Below are 23,017 nucleotides of genomic sequence, written 5' to 3'. Positions count from 1 at the left end.
GGAATCTGGACTGGACCCAGAAAGGAAGCCGGTTTGGTTCATGCTGAGGACACAGGGGGCACCTTGCCTTTCTGGCTAGGTGGCAAAGCGGTACGTGGGCCATCCCAGCAGGCACTAGCGCTCCCCCTGCACCCTCTGGCCGCCCGGGCGCGGGGACCTGGCCCCCGCCTCCTCCACAGTCTCCGACTTGCGAGCCGCACGGCCCAGGTGAAGCCGCTGGGCGCGTCCCCGCGCGCCCCTTCCCCCTCCCGGCGACTTCCTGATTTGCAAGAAGGTGCAGGAGCCGCAGCGGGCGGCCCCGGTCGCAGGAACTGAGAGGCCTCAGCTTTGGTGGCGGCTACCGGCGGAGACGGGGGCGGCGGCCACGCCACCGCTGCTGTCACAGAAAGGCTCTGGTGGGTGGGGTGGGAGGCGGGGAAGTGCCGGGGGCGCAGCCGACATGGGCCCGCCGCCACGGCTGCTGTGAGCAGCCTCTTTCCCTGTGTGGCCGCCGGCGTGGGCGGGGACGGCGCGACCCTCGCGCGGCCGGGCTGCGGGCTTCCAGGCCAGCGCGCGGGGGCCGGACGGACAGCCCCACACCGACATGTAACCATGGACTGCAGGACCAAGTGAGTGGGGGGGCCCGGGCGCGTCGGGGGCGGGCGTCCCTCGGCGGCCCCTCCCAGGCCAGCTCGGCTCCTCCGCGCCTCCGCGCTCAACCGGCTCCCCGGGCGGCCGAGGTTGGCCGGGCGGGCTGGGGGTGCGGTCCGGCCCCCAAGCCTCTGGCCGGCCGGCGGGACGGCGCTAGGCCGCAAAGCCTGCCCGCCCTGCGTCCCCGGCCCTCCGTGGTTGGCGCGGCTCCTCCCGGAGAGGCCACTAGCGCCTTGTCGACGCCCGCCTTTCGGGGGACAGGGGAGGCCGGGCGGCCCCTGACACCGCCGCTGAGGGGTTCTCGTGCTTCCCCCGAGTGTGTCAGATGTGACTCTCCTGGGGCTGCCTGTGTGCGTGTGGTGTCCGGGAGGGAGTCAGCGTTGAGGTTAAGAGGTTATTATTCCGAGTGCTCTCTGAGCATTAAATATAACCGGTGTTTTCTTAAGTCCGTTTGTTACTTTTGTCTTGGATGTTTTCTTATGATTCTGCTTATAAAATTAGATTGGTCTCTGGTGTTTCTTTATGCAGCAACTGTAGATGCATGGTTCTTGCAAAACGGTATCCAATTAGAGGGTACTTTTATGTGTGTGCTAAAGTATTTATCAACGACTACTTTGCTCAGGAGATTAGGTAAAAAGCAATTTTAATAACGGTGGTGATTTTGTTTCTAGGTATCTTAGAGGCATGAGTTTTATATTTTTCTTCTGAAACTTAACTTTGGAAAGAATTCCTTTTTACTTCGCTTACCCACCCTTTACTATCTCCTTCTCAAAAAGTTTAAAATAATGCCATGTATATTTGTATTATTGTGAAAGGCCGTTTGAATTTCACAGAAGTAAAACTGAGTCAATATTTAACTTTTACACCTAAGAGAAATTCTAAAGAATATTAGGGAAAGAGGGAAATTATGTAATAGAATTATTTTCTTCAGTGTGTTTGACATCATGGTGGGCAGGGTAAGTGAGTAAAAATAGTATGCTTCTTGACATTAATTGTTTTAAGAGGGAGGAAGTCATCTGAGCCCAGATTATTCCCATTGAAACAAGTTAATAGCGGAAAGGCTAAAAAAATGTATATTTGCATGTTAATTTATATGTCTTGTCACTTCCTATGTTTCCAGATTCATATCTTATAAGAAAAGCTTCCAAAAAAAGAAATGCTTTTTTTTAAAGTCAGAGCTGGCATTCGTTTCTTGAAGGAAGTACATATTAAATACAGCCAATGTACAAAGGCACTAAGGTCTTGTTAGCAGGAATAACTGAGATATTAACACATTGGCCGTTGTGGTAACAGACTTAATCTTTTACCTTATGATGGAACGAGAGATTTAAACAGCAATGTTATGAAGAAAAAGTGTCTCAGTATATTTCAGTTCACTTTTTGAAATTTAACCAATGTTGCTTTGAAATTTTGCAAATATGGCAAGTTAGTAAAAAAGTCAATAACTTCTGAATTAAGCAAAGTAAACTTACAGTTTCTAGTGGGAAAATCTAACATGGAAGCAGATGGCTGGTTTCTCCAAAGATAATGGATAAAAAGAAGGCTTTTTATGTTGCTAGCCTTAGAGCTATGAATAGTTTGCTACTTTAAATATGCATAAGTACAGTAAATACATTTTAAGAAAAGTATATGCAACGTATCACATTCATGGAGCATTATCAATGTTTTATGGTGATCTAGAACTTGGCAGGTGGAACCATGTATTCATCATTTACACTTATATTGCAAGTCCTTTGGAGACAGCCTGAGAACCTGTGTCAAACTCTGTTGGCAGGGTATAATGACACTTAGGGACACTCTGGCTTTTAAATTTGATCCAATAAGATAAAACCAATACTTTGCATTTTTGTAGCACTTAGTACTTAATGAAGTACTTGCACATATGTTATTTGATTTATAATCCTCACTATTATTCTGTGAAGTGGACAAGGCACCTCATAGGTAAGGGAGAACAGTCTCAGCGTTTAAATGCTTTGCCCCAAGTTTCAGAATTCCTAAGTCTCAGCTCTTTTAAGTTGCTCAATTGAGAAAACAGTTTCATTGTTATTTCTACTATACTGTAGTAATACAGTCACGTGAAATGTATTGAGACAAAAACAAGATTAGTTTTAGAATTAAGAAAATACAAGTTTCATGGAGATGTTTATTTGTCATAGGAAATTAATTTAAACTTTTTCCTTTTAGGGCAAATCCAGACAGAACCTTTGACTTGGTGTTGAAAGTGAAATGTCATGCCTCTGAAAATGAAGGTATGTGTCTTCTGTGTTCTGTTATTTGACAAGGTCTCTTTTTTTTGGGACAAGATCTCATTCTGTTCCTCAGGCTGTGCAGTGGCATGATCAGGGCTCACCACAACCTCTCCTTCCCGGGTTCAGGTGATCCTCCCACCTCAGCCTCCCGAGTAGCTGGAGCTACCAATGCACACCACCATGCTCAGCTAATTTTTGTATATTTTTTTGTGGAGACAGGGTTCACCACGTTGCCCAGGCTGGTCTTGAACTCCTGGGCTCAAGTGATCCACCCACCTTGCCCTCCCAAATTGTTGGGATTACAGGCGTGAGCCACTGTGCCTGGCCTGTTCTGTTAATTCTTAAAATAATTGATTGAATCTGTCAAAGCAAGTGTTAATATTGTGGACTGCTGGAACATGGTAGTAATAGGAAAATAATACTACTAAATGTGTATTCTGCATTGAGTGTCTCAAGTTGCTGGTAATAAAATAGGTGTTAAGTCTTTGCCCTGGGATTGTAAAAATCATGAATGTTATCAGTGCAGCTTGAATTTCAGGTGTGTTGTTAAGCCCATATAACTTACAACTCAGCTTCACCATTCGTTGGTAAAGTTATCATTAGTTTTGGTGAAAGGGCGAATCTTTTCATTTTCTTTCATTTATGTTTGGAAATTTAGTGTCTTTTTTTAAACATTAGTGCACATTCTCCTGCTAGTACCAATGGAAACTACACCACTTCCCTTCTGATGTTTCCAGAACGCAGAATGCAGACTGAGTAGCCCCTTCTGTTGGATTTACTCCAATAGCACAGCACTTTTGCAGGGAGGTAAACGATAGTGTGAAATTACTTGGAAGGGTTTCAGCTGTCAGTTCCGTACAATTTCCTGAAAAGATGAGAGCATAATACTTTAATGTCATGATTTTCATCATTTCCCTCCACTTTTGTCATATTGTGTATTGTGCATATGTGTGGTAGGCGGCAGGGTTAGCAGACAAGAATAAGGAATTCTTTTCTTGCCTATTTTCTTTTAATGTGTTCTTGCATGGTATGTCTTTCTAGATACTTAAAGTATATGTCTTTACTTGCTGTGTGCTTAGACCCTGGATAGCATGATGATTAAGCATAGGGGTTTCGTGGAGACTGATTGGCCATCCTAAAGCCTTGGAGGAAAGTCTGCTGACAATTTTAGCTTCAGAAACTATCCAGCAATTACCTACTCTTAAGTAATTTGGAGCTGCACACCTTAAAATAGAGAAGCCCAACCCAGTTGTGGTGAAATGGGCATGGCTAATTTTAGTATGAAGTCACATATTGTTGGCTCCACCAGCCCTACTACTGTACTCCTGGTCTATCTGAACTGCAGCTGTGGTCAGGTTTGTCTATTGGCAAGGAGTGATCCTAGGTTGTAGGGAGCCTTTTCTAGTTGATGAAGTTATCTTTTATTGTCCTGTATGTAGTAAAGTTTGTCCATTTGCATTATTTTGAGCCCCAACCGGGTCCTCTTTGAAGAATGGATATATTAGGTAGAATGGATACTCAAATGGATACATTATGTTTTCAGCTCCAATTTAATTCTATTCTATAGTGGTTTATGATATAAGTTAATCTAAAAAATATCTACCACAACATTACCGAAGGTGCGTGAAGTAACGCTCATCTGATATTGCTTGTAAAGGCGTGGCACGGTGGCTCACGCCTATAATCCCAGCACTTTTGGAGGCCGAGGTGGACAGATCATCTGAGGCCAGGAGTTCGAGACCAGCCTGACCAATATGGTGAAACCCCATCTCTACTAAAAATACCAAAATTATGCAGGCATGGTGGCCTATGCCTGTGATCCCAGCTACTGGGGAGGCTGAGGCACGAGAATCAGTTGAACTGGGGTTGTGGAGGTTGCAGTGCGCCGAGATAGCACCACCACACTCCAGCCTTGGTGACCAAGTGAGACTCTGTCTCAAAAAAAAAAAAAAATCTATATAGATATATAGATATATTTATAGATACATATATTTATAGATATATATTTATAGATATATATTTATATATATTTATAGATATATATTTACATATATATTTATATATATATTTATAGATATATATTTATATATTTATAGATATATATTTATATATATTTATAGATATATATATTTATATATATTTATAGATATATATTTATATATTTATAGATATATATTTATAGATATGTATATTTATAGATATATATTTATAGATATATATTTATAGATATATATTTTTATATATATTTATAGATATATATACACACACACACACACAACAGGCTAATTTCACTTGGAAAATATGGATTCTCTAATTTTAAATGTGTATTAAAGTGATCTTGTTAAAAGATCAATTTGCCTTATATAACACCCAATCTATGCATGTGTCAGAGAGATTGTGGTCTTCTTATAAAGGCTTTTGAGTGGTTTACTCCCTTCTTCCTCTTTTTGCTCTTTTCCACTTTTCATGAGCTAGTTATTCCAGTTTGTATCTTCTACTTCTGCCCTGCTTTAATATTACACCTTGTCTTTTTGCTGTTGTTATTTAAATCACTACTTTTTAGAAACATCTTCATTTGTATTTTAACAGTTTATATCTAGCCTGGTAAAGTTGTAAATATGATAAATGGTTAAAGTAAATAATGTTGGCTTCTTTGTAGGTTGCAAATAATCCATTCTATATGGCTAAATGGCAGAAAATTCTAAAGATATTTTAAAAAACTAAACTCAGCCATGTAAGCAGCAGTAACCTTTCTTCTTTTATTATGACTTAAATAGTATGAATATGGCTAATATTTTAGGATCTAACAAGTAATAACTATAATCAGTAACTATAATAAATAACAAATGATAAATTAGTAGCTATAAATAATAAAATCAATAACTATAAGAGGGCTATAAAAGTAAATTTTTTTGCCAAATTGAGAGATTTATGTTTCTGTAATATTTTATCAATGTTCTACTTTACAGCTAAATCTTAAATAGAAAAATATATGAAAAATATTTTAAAAGTTATTGGAATCCTCATATTTAACTGTTAGTACCTATTTGTTTTAATGAGGCTCTGATATGTGCATTATCAGCTTGTTTAAGGTACGATAATTTTTTTTTTGCTAACATTAAATGATCATGGGTGAAATTCTTAAATAGTAATAGATTGGAAAACAAAATGTATAAATTAGGATGCTTTGGAGTACAAACATAAGATTGGTTTAAATAATAGAGAAACTAGAGAAACTTGATATAGTTCATACAAGAAGTCGTCAAACATCGATATAGTTCATACAAGAAGTCGTCAAACATCCAGGTGCTTTCTGCTTCTCATTTCTGCCACTCACAGTAATGGTGTCATTGGAGGGCTTAGATTTCTTGCGGTTATAAGACTGTCAGTGGAAGTTGGAACTCTGCTTTTTTGTTTGTGACTCTGGGGGTGACAGACACTGGCTTTACATGTCTCTATTTAGAGCCAGAAAGTTTCTTTTTTCAAATCCCCTAGAAAGCCTTTCCTTAGATCCTGGTAGCCTAAGTTGGCATGCACCTGACCACTCCTGAAATTATCATTGGTGGGGTAGAGGTAAAGGGGTTGGTGGCAAGACTATTGTGATTGATTTATTTAAATTGGCAATGAATAGATGTTGAGAAATCAATTAAAATGCTTTTGTTAAAGAACTTTTAGAATATATAATTTTTTGTTGACTGATCAAATAGAAAATGTATTTAGAGTAAATTTGGTTTATACTAAGATTGGTGACATTATGTTAAGGTATTTGGCATGCTTCTCTTGTTCATTTTTCATAGGTAAGTCTAAATGTTTTCATTTATCCTGAATAGCTTAGATAAGTATCTTCAGAGACAGGTTGTTAATTAAATTTTAGTTAACAGTGTGAAATGACATTAGCTTTTAAAATATAACTTGATAAAGCTCCTCTGGTAAGATTGTGATCTTTATCTGGTCTACTGCTATTTGGACTTGTTTCAGAGGCATTATATTGATTTTTTTTTTTTTGAGAACAACACATTTCAGAACATTCTGGAAAATAGCTTGTTAGTTTCATATGGAGTGCTCTACAAATCTAAAAAAATGCCATAAGAGGGGTTGGTAGTATTTCCCTATAGTGTCCCCTATGTGTTAGTAGAATTTGTTCTGGTGGTGTCTGACAGATTAGTTGTGGCATTTTTTTTTTTAATGGAGGTTTCCCTGGCAGAACAACCTCCCAGTAACTTCTGCTCCAGCTGTCCAAAAGTGAAGTGCCAAAATTTAGATCTTAATGCTCTTCCTGGTAGATCTCCAAGATAATTGCTAGTGTTCTTATTCTTTTTGTTGTCTGTCTTCCTTTTAGCAGGCAGGGAAGTACAGCCAGCAGTGATGGCCTCTCCTCAATTCTGTTAACAGAAGTCATTGTTACCATACTGTCCCCACCTTCCCCAAAGTGACTTAAGACTTCAGGGAAATGAAAAGTAACTTTTCGTCAATAAAAGATTGGGTATGCCTCTAAGCATTTCTCTTCTGGGAAGTGGCCTTGGTACTCTAGCTTTCTCTTTTTTAATTTTGTTGATAGTTTATTCCAAGTAGTAATAGTAGCAGTAGTAGTAGGAGGAGGAGGAGGAGGAGGAAAGGGAGGAGGAGGAGGAAGAGAAGGAGGAGGAGGAGCAGGAGGAAGAGGAGGAGGAGAAGGAGGAGGACGAGGAGGAGGACGACGAAGAGGAGGAGGAGGAAAAGGAGGTGGAGGAGCAGCAGCAGCAGCTGCAGCAGCTAATATGTTGTACTTATTCTGTGCTGGGCAAAATTCTGGATATTTTTCATGTACTATTTAAGCCTCACAAAAATCTTATGATATAGGAAATGCTTGTTTCCATTTGGCACATGAAGAAACTGAAGAACAGAGAAATGATGAAACTTGCGCAGGGTAGTCTGTCCAGAGTCTGTATTTTAACTACTGCTGTGTTGCCTCCCATTGCATAGTGACTTCACGTGTATAGGTGGTTTTATCATGCGAGGAAATATTTGAGTATAAACTGTATGTGGTACAAATCATTTTTTCCAAATGGGAATACAGTGTGTTCCCTAAAATTAATGAATCCAATATAATTCCACCTAAAACAATTACTGAGTTTTTTCTTTGTGGTTGCAGAGCCTAACTCATCCCATTTCCCTCCCTGTCACTTTTCATTTTTAGGATTTGCATCTTCATATTTAGTGAATCTTTGATCTAATAGTTCTGGCTATTTAATAGTAGTTTTAAAACATCTTTAGCACGTCTTGTTTTCTTTATTCCTTTCTTTTTACCTAGAACAGTTTCTCTTAGGAACAAATTCTTCTTTGCTACCAGCTTTCTACTTTGATCTGCCTATCCAACCCAGTCTCAAATTATCAATTTTTCTTATCTGCAACTTATGTTAACAGTTTAACTGCCTTTCACTTTTTTGTTAAATTAGAGCCTTAAGCCAAAGAATTCTTAGTGTCCTCCATGCCCTGCACAAGAAAGGTATCTCTAAACTTACTTTTTGCATTTGATAACTTTTTGTCTATAGTGATACTATCTACACTAGACTCTACAACATTTTGCTTCTGCTTGGTATTTTAGCACTTATTGTACTATTATAGATATGTTTAATATGGTCATTTAGAGAAATACTGATGTGTCTAAATGTATGTTTGCCCTGCTTGAGGTAAGTTCTTCATGAACCAGAACTTATTAATTTGTATTCTTAAGAAAAAACTTAACACATCTGACATGTTTAATGAATATTTACAGAATGAATAAAAGAAACTGGGGCTGGGTGCAGTGGCTCACACCTGTAATTCCAGCACTTTGGGAGGCAGAGGCAGGTAGATCATTTGAGGTCAGGAGTTTGAGACCAGCCTGGCCAACATAGTGAATCCCTGTCTCTACTAAAAATACAAAATTTAGCGGGGTGTGGTGTCAAGAGCCTGTAGTCCCAACTACTTGAGAGGCTGAGGCAGGAGAATCACTTGAACCCAGGAGGCGGAGAGAGATTGCAGTGAGCTGAGATTGTGTCACTGCATTCCAGTCTAGGTGACAGAGGGAGACTCTATCTCTAAAAAATAAAAAATAAAAATAAATTGGATCTAGCTTAATGCTTGGCCATTGAATAAATGAATGTTGATTACATTAATCCACAGAGAGCTGCTTGTAGAAATGATTTTAAATGTGTGCTGGTATGACAGTACAGGGGCATTAGAAATAGAAGTCCATATATGTCTTGGAATGGGCTGTTTTGGAATACCCCATCCTCAAACTCTTTTCATTCAGTGCTTATGTCTCCTTTCCTCTCTTCATAGCAAAATATTTATAAGAACAGTTGCTATATATGTTTGTGAATTTACCTTAAAACTCATCTATAACCATTCATACATACTAAAACCCAACAAAACTCTAACATTTGGAAAATAGAACCTTGAGGAATCATACAGATAATAAAGTAGTTTAGGAGGTATTGCATTATTGTCCAACATGGAAAAAGTCTGAGTAAAATGTGGTTACCATGATAGTTGTTTTTGCTGTAACTTTGTGTTCATTTAAGAACTCTGAGTCTCTCAATTCAGATGCACTAGGATAAATTAGAGTAATGCAAACTGTATAAGCTAAATTGTTGAAGAAAATGAAACTGTGACCAGGCATGGTGGCTGATACCTGTAATCCCAACATTTTGGGAGGAAGAGGTGGGAGAATCCCTTGAGGTCAGAAGATCAAGACCAGGCTGGGCAACATAGCGAGGCTCCCATCTCTATTAAAAAATAAAATAAAATGAAACTGTTTTTTCTTTTGCACTGCTAGCCAGGAACAAAATGTAATGTGATTCTTCAGAACCATGTCCTTGGGTTATGCCCTTCTTGATTTATATAGAAAATAGTTGAGAATATATGTACTTTTATATGTGGCTTGGTGCATTACATCCTCCTTCACATAGCTGCCTGCAAGTGTAAAAAGCAAATCAAATTTCACTGTTCAGTATTTGTTGATTATTACTTTCATAGGTGTGTTGCAAATTTTACATTTTAATAGTTTGGTTATCACTTTCTCATTAGGTGCTTTCATTTGTTTACATGTTCTTTATTTTTGCCGCTTTAATCTAAGGTGACCTCTTGGTTTTTGATGTTCATGATTTCCACTGTAAAATGTCAGAGGCTGCTTGGCCTCTGCTGCAGATTTCACAGTGGTATGCTTTAAGACTGTTGTTTTGTCACTGCTGTGTTGCCACAGTGCAAGTTTGTTCAGGTTTTTTCTTATAACTTTGTTTTCTTGACTTTCAAGGTGATATGTTCCTGATGTGCTTTTGATAATATTCTCTCATTTTCAGATTTTTCTTAGGCTCAGATAATATATTCTTTTTCTCTAAATTTTCATGTTTTATTTGCAAGTTAGGGGATAATAATTTACTGTGTACAGTATACATTTTAAAGTGTTCATATAATACTAGCAATAGACATGTTTAGAGTGCTTTACGCAGATGGCCATGGTACTTCAGATAACAATGAGAATATCACATTTGAGCTCTTGGATTTTTAATCATTTCCAAAATAATACTTCTTCCTTGGAAATAAGCTTAATGTTTAACATTGAAAAACTTTTCCCACTTTCAAACTCTTGATTTATCTCAAGTAGTAATTTAATTTTATCTATAGAAAGTAATGTCTTGGTTCACGTTTCTGTGATAGGTCAGTCACTGGCCTTGTGGGGGAACTTGCTAAAAGGTGATCCTGACTTGACCTTTTAAAAGTATTTATTTAGGAGACTGTGGTACTAATTCTTATGACACTGAATAAGAGAAGAGTAGAATAACAGAACTTGAGTTTCCTTAAAGAGCACTTAGTATAATCCCATGGAGTATGGAGGGAATTGCTTTGATGCCTTTTACAATTCCTGGATCCCCTCTGCTGTCACCTTGTAGGTGCCATTATCATCATGCTGCCTGGTGACTGGTAAAAATTCTCACAATGAGCATTATATAGGCCTGCTCCACTAAGATTACCCCTCTTCTCACCACTTTTCAACTAACAATTCCTTTTAAGTACACCGGTGTTACTTAAAGTGTGTATCTGATTAATTAACAGTGAGGTGTGAACAACTGATAGCCTTCAGGGAAACATTTATTTTTATTTTTATTTTTTATTATGTATTTTTTAAGGGAACATTTTAATTTTAAAGAAAACCTTGTAAACTCAAATCAATTAAAAAGAAGCAGTTTTTATAATGGAAAGATCTGTTGACTAAGGGTCAAATGTATCTGTAACTGCCAAATCCTGGTTTCATTTTACCATTTTTCCACCATACGTGTTGATACTCTTGTAATTGTGATTAACAACTTTAGTAAGTGTATAAGTATATTTAGTCAGAGTATTAATTCAGTGAATTTCATAAAGACTTGTTTTTATTGCTTAAAGTTCCTAGTTAATGAGCTAAAGCTATAATGTCATGGTTACAGGACCTTATTTTTCAATTTATTTTCTCTGATTAGGCTTCCAGTTAGATGTTCTACATAAATAGTAATAGAAACTATTTATTTGGTATTTATAATATGTCAGAAAATGTGCCAAGAGCCTACATCTTCCATTTGTCTTCACTTCAGCTATAAAATTTACTGACTGTTATTCTTTTCAAAGCATAAGGAAATTGAGGCAAGTTCAACAACTTGCCCAAAGCACACAGACTTAAGAGTAAGACTAGGATTTGAACTTGTCTCTATGGTACTAGAGCCTGAGCTCTTAACAATTATGCTGTGCTACCTTTAGAACAATAGCAGTGAAATCTTCTGCAGCAACTTTAAAAAGCCACTCGTTTTAGAAAACCCCTGACTGATTCTAGGCTTGACCAGAATTGTTGTGATATTCTTAACAGACATCAGAAGAAGAGCTTAAACACCATAGAAAGTATTCAGCCCTCTCATTCCTTCAGTGAATGTTTCTGAGTGCCAGTTATGCGTCATGCACAGATGAAATGCAATTGAGATGGCATTCTTGAAGGGGAAGCGTCAATTTCAAGTCAATAATTGTAAGAGTAGTAAAGGCTGTGGTAGAGGTTGTATAGTGCATATAGCACTGAAGTACGAAGAAGGCACCTAATTCAGCTCATTGCTTAGGGAACAGTAGAGGAGTGGGGAGATCTTGCGGGTAGTTGTGAGATAATAGAGGGAGAGACAATTGGTTGTCAGGTGGTTATCTTTTTCTAAAGTTAACTGGAGTTTTACTTCATATTCAAAATCTTGTGTGAATAATTAAGAGTAAAGAATATATTGCTTTTGGTATAAATAGTTGCATCTGATGAAGAAGATAAAGAATCTCTCTGCTACAGTGTAACTTGCCTTGGCAGGGGATTGTTGCATTTAATTTTGTTTACTCAGAGCCTAAAACAGTGTCTGACTCATAGTATGTGCTCAGTAAATATTTGTTGGATTGTTAAACTGATAAAGGTACTGAGATGGCTTTTAAAGAAAAGGAATGGAAATTGTGTAGGGTATTATGGGCTTAATAATTTTTGTTAAATTCCTTTCTTTTAAAAGAAGTATAATTACAGTATTAAACAGGTAAGATTTGTTAAAGTGAAGCTTCAGAAATAAAAAAATATATATAAAAAGAAGTGACAAAATTATAGCTCACTGCAGCCTTGAACTGGGCTCCAGGGATCCTCCCGCCTCAGTCTTCTGAGTAGCCAGTACTACAGGCGTATGTCACCATGTCTGGCTAATTTTTACATTTTTTGTACAGATGGGGTCTCACTCTGTTGTGGAGGCTGGTCTTGAGCTCCTGACCTCAAGTAATCCTCCTGCCTTGGCCTCCCAAAGTGCTGGGATTACAGGTGTGAGCCACCGCCAAGCTGGCAGATGTCTTTACAAGGTGGTGATTTTATCTTTTTTCCAGAAGAGGGATTGCTGGGTCCTGTAGTAGTTCAGCAGAAGAATGGATAAAGAAAATGTGGTGTGTATACATATATGCAATGGAATATTATTCAGCCTTACAACGGGGGAGATAATGCCGTGTGCTACAACATGGATGGGCCTGGAGTACATTATGCTAAATGAAATATGTCAGACCCAGGAAGAACAAGTTGCATGATCTCACTTATATGTAGAATATATATTTTTAAATGCTCGGATACACAGAGAATGAAACAGTGGTTACCATGGGTGGGGTGGGGGTAGAGGAAATGAGGCAAGGTAGGTCAAAAGACACAAAATAGCAGATATATAGAATGAACAAGTCTAGAAATCCAATATACAATATGAGGACCAAAGTTAATAAAATTGTATTGTATTAGGGATTGTTGTTAAATACATGGATTTTAGCTGCTCCTGTTGCAAAGAGGTAAGTATGTGAGATGATAGATGCGTTAATTGGCTTCACTATAGCAACCATTTTACTATCTATATGTATTTCATCATATTGAGCACCTCAAATAAACACAGTACAATTTTATTTAAAAAGCTTGGTGGCGGGCACCTGTAGTCTCAGCTACTCAGGAGGCTGAGGCAGGAGGATGGCGTGAACCCGCGAGGCAGAGCTTGCAGTGAGCCAAGATTGTGCCACTGCACTCTAGCCTGGGCGACAGAGCGAGACTCCGTCTCAAAAAAAAAAAAAATGCTGACTAATAAGCCTTTTGGTGTCTGTCTCGTGGAAGTTATAGTCTATCTTGAGCTAGGTCTTTATTGTCCTGATTTATGTTGTTTATTGGATTTCAGGCTTTTAAGGACAAGTACCTCTTTGAATCTCTTGTAGATTTTGGGAAGGTATCTTACACGAGAATGGTGTTCAATGATTACTTGCTATAAGTTATATTGTTATTACAGTGAAATTAGTAAAAGATTGTTCTGATTATCAATTCCTACTGAAGATTTCTTAAATCTTAAAAAAAATTGAATGTAAAGGACTTTGAAAGCTTGCAGATTTTTGTCATCACAAGCAACGGGCACTTTATTTAAAAAAAACTTTTTTTTTTTTTTTAAATAGAGCTGTTGAAAAACCACAAACTGTAACTTTGTAGGCAGAACTGGTAAAGATCAAGATAGAGCCTTTTCCTTTTTCAGTTCCTTCTTAATTATCACTCGAATCTGAAGAAAAGCACACAACAACCAGTTTAGTTCATCTGATAGCCTTCTGCAGATATATATGATTCCAGAAATTACTCATTAAAATAATAATTTTATCTTGGTTTGGTAGCAGAAATGCACCAGCATGAGGGTGTGTTTAGTATACAAATTTACTATTAATTAGAATTAAGCAGTCCTTTAAAATTTTATCACGTGGGTAGTTATAAAAACTTAGATGACTTTTATTTTCTTAAGATTATCATCAAATTAATTATAAGTTATTTGAAATTAACTTACATGTTTATACAGGAAACATGGTTCAAATGAAAGCCAAATAAGTTCAAATGTGTTTTAATACACGGGAACATCATATGTCCTCAAGGTCTATGCATTAAAATTATAGGTGCTCTTAAACTTGCATGGAAGTGGTTCAGAAAGGATTCTTTTTTTTTCTTCTTCAAGATTACAGTGTATTTTAGATATGATATTTGGAAGAGGAAGTAATATAATATTTAGAAAATATTTTTGAAGGTCTTCATCATTTTTACTCATATTAAAAGAGCAATTTCTGTTTAATAATTATAAGCAGTTAATGAAGTTAATTTTTTTGGTTTTTAGAAAATAATGTCTTTAAAATTTTTTTGTTCTTATTACTTCAAGACTTGAGAACTAAGTTTTGGAGTCTTAGTTTTACTATGAAATGTGTGATTTTGTTGATGAATACCTGCAGAGTAATCACTGACAATAAGGAGCAGCACAATTTCATCAAGATTATGTGTTGGTTCTTTCACTGTGTACAGGTTTAGACATGTTAGAGAAGAAATAATAAGCTAAGAACTGTTACGTACAAAAATACTAGCTTCCAACTTTTAATGATTACTGTAGTGTTTGTTAGGGATGTTGACTGTATACCCTAAACGTGGAAATATTGAAATGGAATGCTAGTTGAAAGACAAAATTTTAATTTGTAAATATTTGTCTCATTTTAGCTTAATAGTTGAAGACATAAATGAGCCCGCAGTATAATGTTTAAGATGTCATTGTTCTAAATTTTGCCTTTGATAGAGCTGATATAGCTGTTTAAAATTCATTATAAAGCCCATTACTAAACCCATTGACTAATAATTTACTCTTCTTGGGGGATTATAAAATCTGTGGGTAATTTTTTTTTTTTTTTTTTTGAGACAAGGTCTCACTCTGTTGCCCAGGCTGAAGTGCAGTGACGTGATCTTGGCTCACTGCAACTTCCACCTCTTGGGCCCAGCATGATCTTCCCACCTCAGCCTCCCGAGTAGCTGGGATTACAGGTACACACCACCATGCCCAGCTAATTTTTGTAGAGATGGGGCTTTGCTATTTTGCCCAGACTGGTCTTGAACTCCTGAGCTCAAGCGACCTGCCTACCTTAGCTTCCAAAAGTGCTGGGATTATAGGTGTGAGCCACTATGACTGGCCAGTAATTTTTTGATTCATTTCTCTCAGTAATTGTCCAGATTAACAATGACCATTTTGTTTATAAATGGATATGGAGAGAAAGAGAGGAGATGGCATTCATATCAAATTTTCTACCTGAAACCTTGCATCACTTACTGCTACTTTCTTATGATATACTCAAAATATTGATCAAAGCATTAAAAATGTTTGAAGTCACTGAACTCTTCTGGAATGCCTTCCAAATCATGAAGATTAGAATTGCTTTCTAGTCATCTTATACATTTTAAGATGGCTTACACTTTACCTTTTCAGGGTATCTTAGTTCTTCAAAAACGTATAATTTACATTGTGTTTAATATATATGACAGACTAAACATATAATTTAAATTTATTTTAAAACAATTTTAAGTATGATTAAAGTCGATCTTTTTAAGGTATGGCTGAATTGGTCAAAACACAAAAATTATTTATGTATTGCTGTTAAGGGATTTTTCAATCTCATTCTGAGTTAAAAATTTAAAAGCTGGGTTTGAGGAGAGTAGATTGAGGGTGCTTTTGCCTAGTTTATGGGGAAGAGATGAATAAGCTGGTGCTCTCTAAGAGGTATCTTCCTCCCGCATGCTTTTTTTTTTTTTTTTTTTTTTTTGAGACGGAGTCTTGCTCAATCACCCAGGCCAGAGTGCAGTGGTGCGATCCCAGCTCACTGCAACCTCCACCTCCCGGGTTCACGCCATTCTCCTGCCTCAGCCTCCTGAGTAGCTGGGACTACAGGCGCCCACCACCATGCCCAGCTAACTTTTTTTTTTGTATTTTTAGTAGAGACGGAGTTTCACCAAAGATGGCCTGCTGGTTCTTTGCACCACCTCATGCCACCTGCATGAAGATGGTGCAGATACTTTCATTTTGGAATTTGTATTTTTGCCTTGTTTCACTTTTATCTTGAATATATTTGGTGTTTTTTTTTCATTTATTATATATTTAATATTTTTATGTTACTTTAAAATGTTTTAGCTTAATTCTTTAGTTCCTAATTTTACTTTTAATTGTATTTTGCTTCTTTTTATTATTTTATATTAATTTCTTTTATTTGGTTTTTTAAATTTTTTAAAGAAGTATTTAAGGCCAGGTATGGTGGCTCACACCTGTAATCCCAGCAATTTGGGAGGCTGAGGTGGGTGGATCACATGAGGCCAGGAGTTCCAGCAACCTGGGCAACGTGTGAAACTCCATCTCCACCAAAAAATACAAAAGTTAGCTGGGTGTAGTGGTGTGCACCTGTAGTCCCCAGCTATTTGGGAGGCTGAGGCAGGAGAATTGCTTGAACCTAGAAGGTGGATGTTGCATTGAGCCGAGATCACACCACTGTACTGCAGCCTGGGCGACAGAGAGAGACTCCATCTTAAAAAAAAAAAAAAAAAAAAAAAAAAATTAATGAAGTACTCTATTCTTTGGGAAAAGTTGTGCTTTTTCTTATTCTAATTAGTGTGCCTTTTGAACCTTTTTCCTTTTTAGTGAGAAACAAGGAGAGAGAATTTCATAAGATGTAGCAGACACATTTTAATAAAACTAATACTTATGCTTTAATGGACTGTGAATAAGTAATTAAATCTCTGTTTCAAGGTGAACAGGAGTAATGGGTTTGATGCCACGATTTTCTAAAAGCCTAAACTCTGGAATCCTCTTAAAGATAAGACAGATATTTTACCTGATAGACATCATGGTGGAATGGGAAGATACTGGACCGAGAGTTGAAACATAGTTCTTGGTACTGGCTTCATCACTTGTTAGATGTCTGACTTTGATCAAGTCCTTTAAATTCTATTACTTTCATTTTTCACATTTGTAAAATATTTGCACTGCATATCTCTAATTGTTATGAGAGTCAAATACATAATAGCATGAAAATGCTTCATAAATTGCACCATGTAGATAGAAACTTTTATTTGGTTTCTGTGTTGTGGTTGTTAGCCGTATGAAAAAAGGTATGATCACTTCAACAGAAATTGTTAGTAAAAAACTTTCCTCCTATTTTGATGTATGTGATCAATCTGGAAGACAGGAATGCTAAAGAAAGGTCACATAGTAACTTCCAAGTCCCCTCTTTAATATTGCAGAAGTGTCAGGAACAAGGAGGATAGAAGACACGTATTTTGGTATTTTGCGCTGTGATTAGTGAATTTCACTTTGAAAAGGATATTTAGCAGAGAATAAGTTTGTAGTACCGAATCTGACAGCATCCATATAAATATTTGGTGAGGTCCAGAGAGGTCAAACAGGAGTTGAAAATTACAATGTGACTTTTCTTTAGCGCTCCTTTCTTCCAAATTTTTCACATGTACAACTTCAGCAACAAAGTTAGAATTCCATATATGTGTAAGTTTTCAAACTTCTAAGAGCTAATATTGATAAGCTAGAAAGTTGTTAGAATAGAAATAACACTGGGCTTATATCCTTGAAGGAATGATGATGAGCTAAAATTAAGGATAATATTACAAAAGTGTAGGGTTCTCAAAGGAAATATTAGTTGAGAGGTATAGTGCAATTGGTTGTGAGGTCTGTGTAAACAAATACTAAGTATTGCAACTTCTGAATGATTAAAAAATACAGAAAATTCAAGGCTATCTTGGTAATGACATTATTCCCATTTATTTGAATTCCTGTATAACTTTCTTGAGTGAATGCTGAATTTAAGTCCAGAAATTATCCTTGAAGCAAGATTCTGTTATATCATTGATATAAATCTCCTTTTTATAGGTAATTTAATAATGTTGATGAAGTTTATATTTTGTCAGACAAATTTATGTAAGACCCTTCTGTAGATTCCTGAGTTCTCAATAACAGTGTTTCTTAATTTTATTTATAACACATAGAAAATGACAATATTTGTATGGTACTTCTGGGCAAATGGACTTCATGCAATGATAGGAGGTAAATGGCCTGGGGTCTGCTAGGGTTGAGGGGATCAATATGTTCTTATTTCTTCTTACCCATTAGAGAGGCACAGGCTGGGATGTTCTCTTTATGGTTTCTTTGGTGAGACTGGCTTTTTATTCACTGCTTTTGTTCACTGTTGTTTTATGCTACTAGGTAGGATGGCAGAACTCTAGAGTTAGATTGGAGTTAGAAATTGGGTTGGAGTTCCAGTTGAACCACTCTGAGCCTGTTTCTTTGTCTTAAAATGAGAAAAGTTATGATCCTCCTTTTCTTTCTTCTGTAAACCTATGATGATCAATAGAGATAATAAATTATATGAATATGCTTTTAAATAGAAGGTTATTTTTAATATAATTTAAGCAAACTGCAGGTACATCTCTTTTGTAACTTGCAAGAAGAAATAGATTCTTTTGTTTTATATACATATATGTGTCTGTGTATATATATAGTGTGTATATATATATATAAATATATTTAACATATAATGGCATAGTGTCACAGTATATCAGTGAGGACTTCTGACTCCAAAGCTAGGAGAGAGGATTGCAAAATTTAACACTGGCAATAAAAATTAAGGATTATGAGAGATGTATTACATTTATGCAAATATTTCTTTCCCTTTCAGGCATAGTATTTTCTTTAATAATGATTAACTCTAATTATGGGTTCTGATAATTATTACACACAAGTATCTAATGTTCATCTGTTTTAATGAATTTTTTTAAATAAAAAGGATAATGAATAAAATTTATTATTAGTTTATTATTAGTGACCCATGCTTTTCTGAAAGTCTGGCTGTTTATGCCATTGTTTTCCCTAAATAGTAAATCTAATTGTTTAATGGGGGCATATTTTTTTTTTTTTTTTTTTTTTTTTTTTGAGATGGAGACTTGCTCTGTTGCCCAGTCTGGAGTGCAGTGGTGCGATCTTGGCTCACTGCAACTGCTGCCTCCTGGATTCAAAAAGATTCTTCTGCCTCAGCCTCCTGAATAGCTGGGATTACAGGCGCATGCCACCACACCCAGCTAATTTTTGTGTTTTTAGTAGAGATGTGGTTTCGCTTTGTTGGCCGGGCTGGTCTTGAACTCCTGACCTCAAGTGATCTGCCTGCCTCCTCCTCCCAGACTGCTGGGATTACAGGCCTGAGCCACCATGCCCAGCCTAATAAAAGCATATTCTAATTGTTGGAAAAACATTTAGGAACAAACAGCGTCTGGCCTGGTAGGCTAAAATCCACAGAGGAACAGGTGAATGTATTAATTCTATCAATCAGTTAGTTAATCAAAATATTCTGTTCCTTAATTCTTCCTTCCTAGACTATGTGTAGGATAATTCTTGGCATTCTTAATGAAGAACTAGCCTGATGCCATTGGTGAAAAAGATTTTTTGGTTTTACTATACATTGTGTATATTTCCCTATACTTTTAAATGTACAGATTTTTTATTCTCTATGTGACTACTTTGTAACTACTGATATGGGTTGGCTCTGTGTTCCCACCCAAATCTCATCTTGTTGCTCCCATAATTCCCACATGTTGTGGGAGGGACCCGCTGGGAGATGATTGAATCCTGGGGATGGGTCTTTCCTGTGCTGTTCTTGTGATAGTAAATGGGTCTCACAGGATCTGATGGTTTTAAAAACGGGAGTTCTCTGCACAAGCTTGCTCTTTGCCTGCTGCCATCCACAGAAGATGTGAGTTGCTCTACCTTGCCTTCCACCGTGGTTGTGAGGCCTCCCCAGCCATGTGGAACTGTTAAGTCCAATAAACCTCTTTCTTTTGTAAATTGCCCAGTCTCGGGTATGTGTTTATCAGCAGTGTGAAAACAGACTAATACAACTACTTCTTCATTTATTTGATTTTTTAAAAAATGGAAATTCTTATTAGTTTAAGCTCATTTTATTTCCTTATTGTCTGCATATATTTCTTCACATATTTTCTCTTTACTAGTTTTCTTCCCATTTTTAAAAGTCCGATCTTTTTTTTCTTTTGTTTTGGCATCCTGTACCATTGTATTTTTTTTTTCTGTTGGGCAGTATACTACTCTTAAGTGTATACTACCAATATTAATAATTTAGATACTTCCACTACTACTAATTTAGAAAGTATGTTGAGAAAGTATTTTTCATATGAATTATTTATTTGATTCTCATACCTATCTTTTGGTAGGCTATATACTCGTATTCCTATTTTATGTTTGAGGAAACTGGAGCACAGAAAAGTGAAGTGACCAGGCTGATACATATAACTGGCAGACTTGAACCAAGATTTCAACTCTAAAACCCACACTTTTTCCAGTAAACCTCAATTTTGTATCAGATAAGTATAGTAACTTGAGAGACTTGCCTGGAATTACAGATTCAAGTGAACGATTTCTTTAGGTAGAATGAAGTTTTTCTTTGCTAGGAGAAATTGGAAGTTAGGGTAGCCAAATACTGTCAGTATGTGTGTCTGTATATGTATGCCTATGTATGTATATGAGTGTAAATGCCTTTATGTTTTATCAAAAAACTCCAGGCCCATTGCAAAAGATTCAAATAGAAGAAGAAAATAACATGAAGAGACTAAAATTCTATCACCCAGAGAATATAATGGGTAATATTTTGTTGAACAATCTGTTACACATCTCTATATGAGTATATTTGCATGAATATGCATTTTCCGTAAACTGGTTCATCTGTTCATGGTATCCTATTATCTAACCATTACCAATTGATAATTTGTTATGAACATCTTCTCATGTCTGAAAATAGATTTACTGTATCAGTTTTTTTTTTTTTTTTTTTTTTTTTTTTTGAGACAGAGTCTCGCATTGTTGCCCAGGCTAGAGTGCGGCGTAGCACGATCTTGGCTTACTGCAGCCTTTGCCTCCTGGGTTCAAGTGGTTCTCATTCCTCAGCCACCTGAGTAAGTGGGATTACAGGTGTGCACCACCACATCTGGCTGATTTTTCACCATGTTGCCCAGGCTGGAACTCCTGGCCTCAAGTGATCTGCCTGCCTCGGCCTGACAAAGTGTTGGGATTACAGGTGTGAGCCACTGTGCCTGGCCTACTTTATCAGTTTTAATAGTTACCTGGAATTTTATTATATGGGCCGACTGTGTATGTATCTCATTTATACTTGTATTATTATCTACTTCAAATAAGTTCTTGAGTATCATTGTTGGACTTTTGATATGTATTGGCAGATTGCCTTTCCGAAAAGATATATAGTCTTATCAATAGTTAGAGAGCCTCTGTGTACCACAGTTCTCCACAATACTGGGTATTAATCCTCTTTTTAAAAATATTAACAATGTATTTTATTTAATTCCATATATCCAAAACATAATTTTAATAGTCAATATTGAAATATTATTAAAATAATTTACAGGTTTTTTTTAGTCTTTTAAGTCCTATATGTATTTTAAAAATAGAATTTATTTTATTTATTTTATTTTATTTTATTGTTTTTTTGATTTAGAATCTTGCTCTGTTGCCAGGCTGGAGTGCAGTGGCACGATCTCGGCTCACTGCAACCTCCGCCTCCCGGGTTTAAGCGATTCTTCTGTCTCAGCCTCCTGAGTAGCTGGGACTACAGATGTGCGCCACCACACCCAGTTTTTTTTGTATTTTTAGTAGAGACGGGATTTCACCATGTTGGCCAGGCTGGTCTCGAACTCCTGACTTCAGGCGATCTGCCTGCCTGGGCCTTCCAAAGTGTTGGGATTATAGGCGTGAGCCACCGCGCGTGGCCATCGACTTTATTTTTAAAGCAGTTTTTGGTTCATAGCAAAATTGCATGTAAAGAGTTTTCCCATATATCACTTGCCCTGACATCTGCACAGCTTTCCTCACTATCAACATCCCCCACCAGAGTGGTAAATTCATTACAAGCAATGAATCTACATTGACACTTAATTATCACCCAAAGCCATAGTTTAGGGATCACTTATCATGTTGTATATTATATGGGTTTGACAAAAGTATAATGACACGTATCCCCCATTATAGTATCAAACAGAAATAGTTTTATTGCCCTAAATATTCTCTGTGCTTCACCTTTTCATCCCTTCTTACCTCCAACCCTTGATCTTTTTACTGTCTCTACAGTTTGCCTTTTCCAGAGATATTTCCCTTTTTTAATTTTTGAAAGCATTTTTGCCTGTCTTGCTTTACTTTATATTTCGATTAATTAGAAAAGTTGGCCAGTATTTCATGTTGGCATTAATAATTCTTTGGTGCATTTTATATTTTTGTCTTTTGCACGTTTGATAAAGGCTTTAATTTTATCTGTAGCAACCAATTATTTATCGCATATTGATATTTTTCCAATTTAACATTTATCTTTTAATTTTGTTTTATGTTCTTTATTCAGAAGTTTAAATTTTTTTGTAGTCAAATTAGTCTTTGAACTTGGAACCAACCCAAATGTCCGTCAATGATAGACTGGATTAAGAAAATGTGGCACATATACACCATGGAATAGTACACAGCCATAAAAAAGGATGAGTTCATGTCCTTTGCAGGGACATGGATGAAGCTGGAAACCATCATTCTGAGCAAACTATCACAAAGACAGAAAACCAAACACTGCATGTTCTCACTCATAGAGTGAACTGAACAATGAGAACACTTGGACACAGGGTGGGGAACATCACACACCGGGGCCTGTCGTGGGGTCGGGGAGGGGGAAGGATAACATTAGGTGATATACCTAAATGATGAGTTAACGGGTGCAGCACA

General features: G+C 37.0%; 1 protein-coding gene across 16 annotated transcripts in view, besides 2 other annotated features; it reads left to right on the top strand.

The window, feature by feature from the left end:
• The window catches only part of DENND1B (DENN domain containing 1B), a 277,403-nt gene that overhangs the window by 6,404 nt on the left and 247,982 nt on the right, over positions 1-23,017 (top strand). For 8 of the 16 annotated variants that reach the window (NR_125340.2, XM_005244931.3, NM_001195215.2 and 5 more), the window contains exons 1-2: positions 267-608; positions 2,815-2,879. Coding sequence is in view for 11 of the 16 variants with exons in the window: in XM_005244931.3 (XP_005244988.1) it covers positions 592-608; positions 2,815-2,879 (82 nt within the window). In the remaining 5 variants the exon portion in view is untranslated. Of the gene's footprint in view, positions 1-47; positions 91-266; positions 609-668; positions 1,261-2,814; positions 2,880-23,017 lie in introns of those variants that run through there. The other 8 variants (XM_024453626.2, XM_011509249.3, XM_011509247.2 and 5 more) reach the window with 6 other exon arrangements.
• Positions 60-259: a silencer, noted in NCBI's record as "silent region_1662". NCBI's record gives its function as "represses an Ori minimal core promoter by ATAC-STARR-seq in GM12878 lymphoblastoid cells {active_cell/tissue: GM12878}" and the evidence as "EXISTENCE:reporter gene assay evidence [ECO:0000049][PMID:35858748]".
• Positions 410-919: a silencer, noted in NCBI's record as "silent region_1661". NCBI's record gives its function as "represses an Ori minimal core promoter by ATAC-STARR-seq in GM12878 lymphoblastoid cells {active_cell/tissue: GM12878}" and the evidence as "EXISTENCE:reporter gene assay evidence [ECO:0000049][PMID:35858748]".

Source organism: Homo sapiens, chromosome 1 (assembly GCF_000001405.40).
Source record: "Homo sapiens chromosome 1, GRCh38.p14 Primary Assembly".
Taxonomy (NCBI): domain Eukaryota; kingdom Metazoa; phylum Chordata; class Mammalia; order Primates; family Hominidae; genus Homo; species Homo sapiens.
The sequence above is the reverse complement of the archived record's forward strand: the minus strand, read 5'-3'. Positions and strand labels throughout refer to the sequence as shown.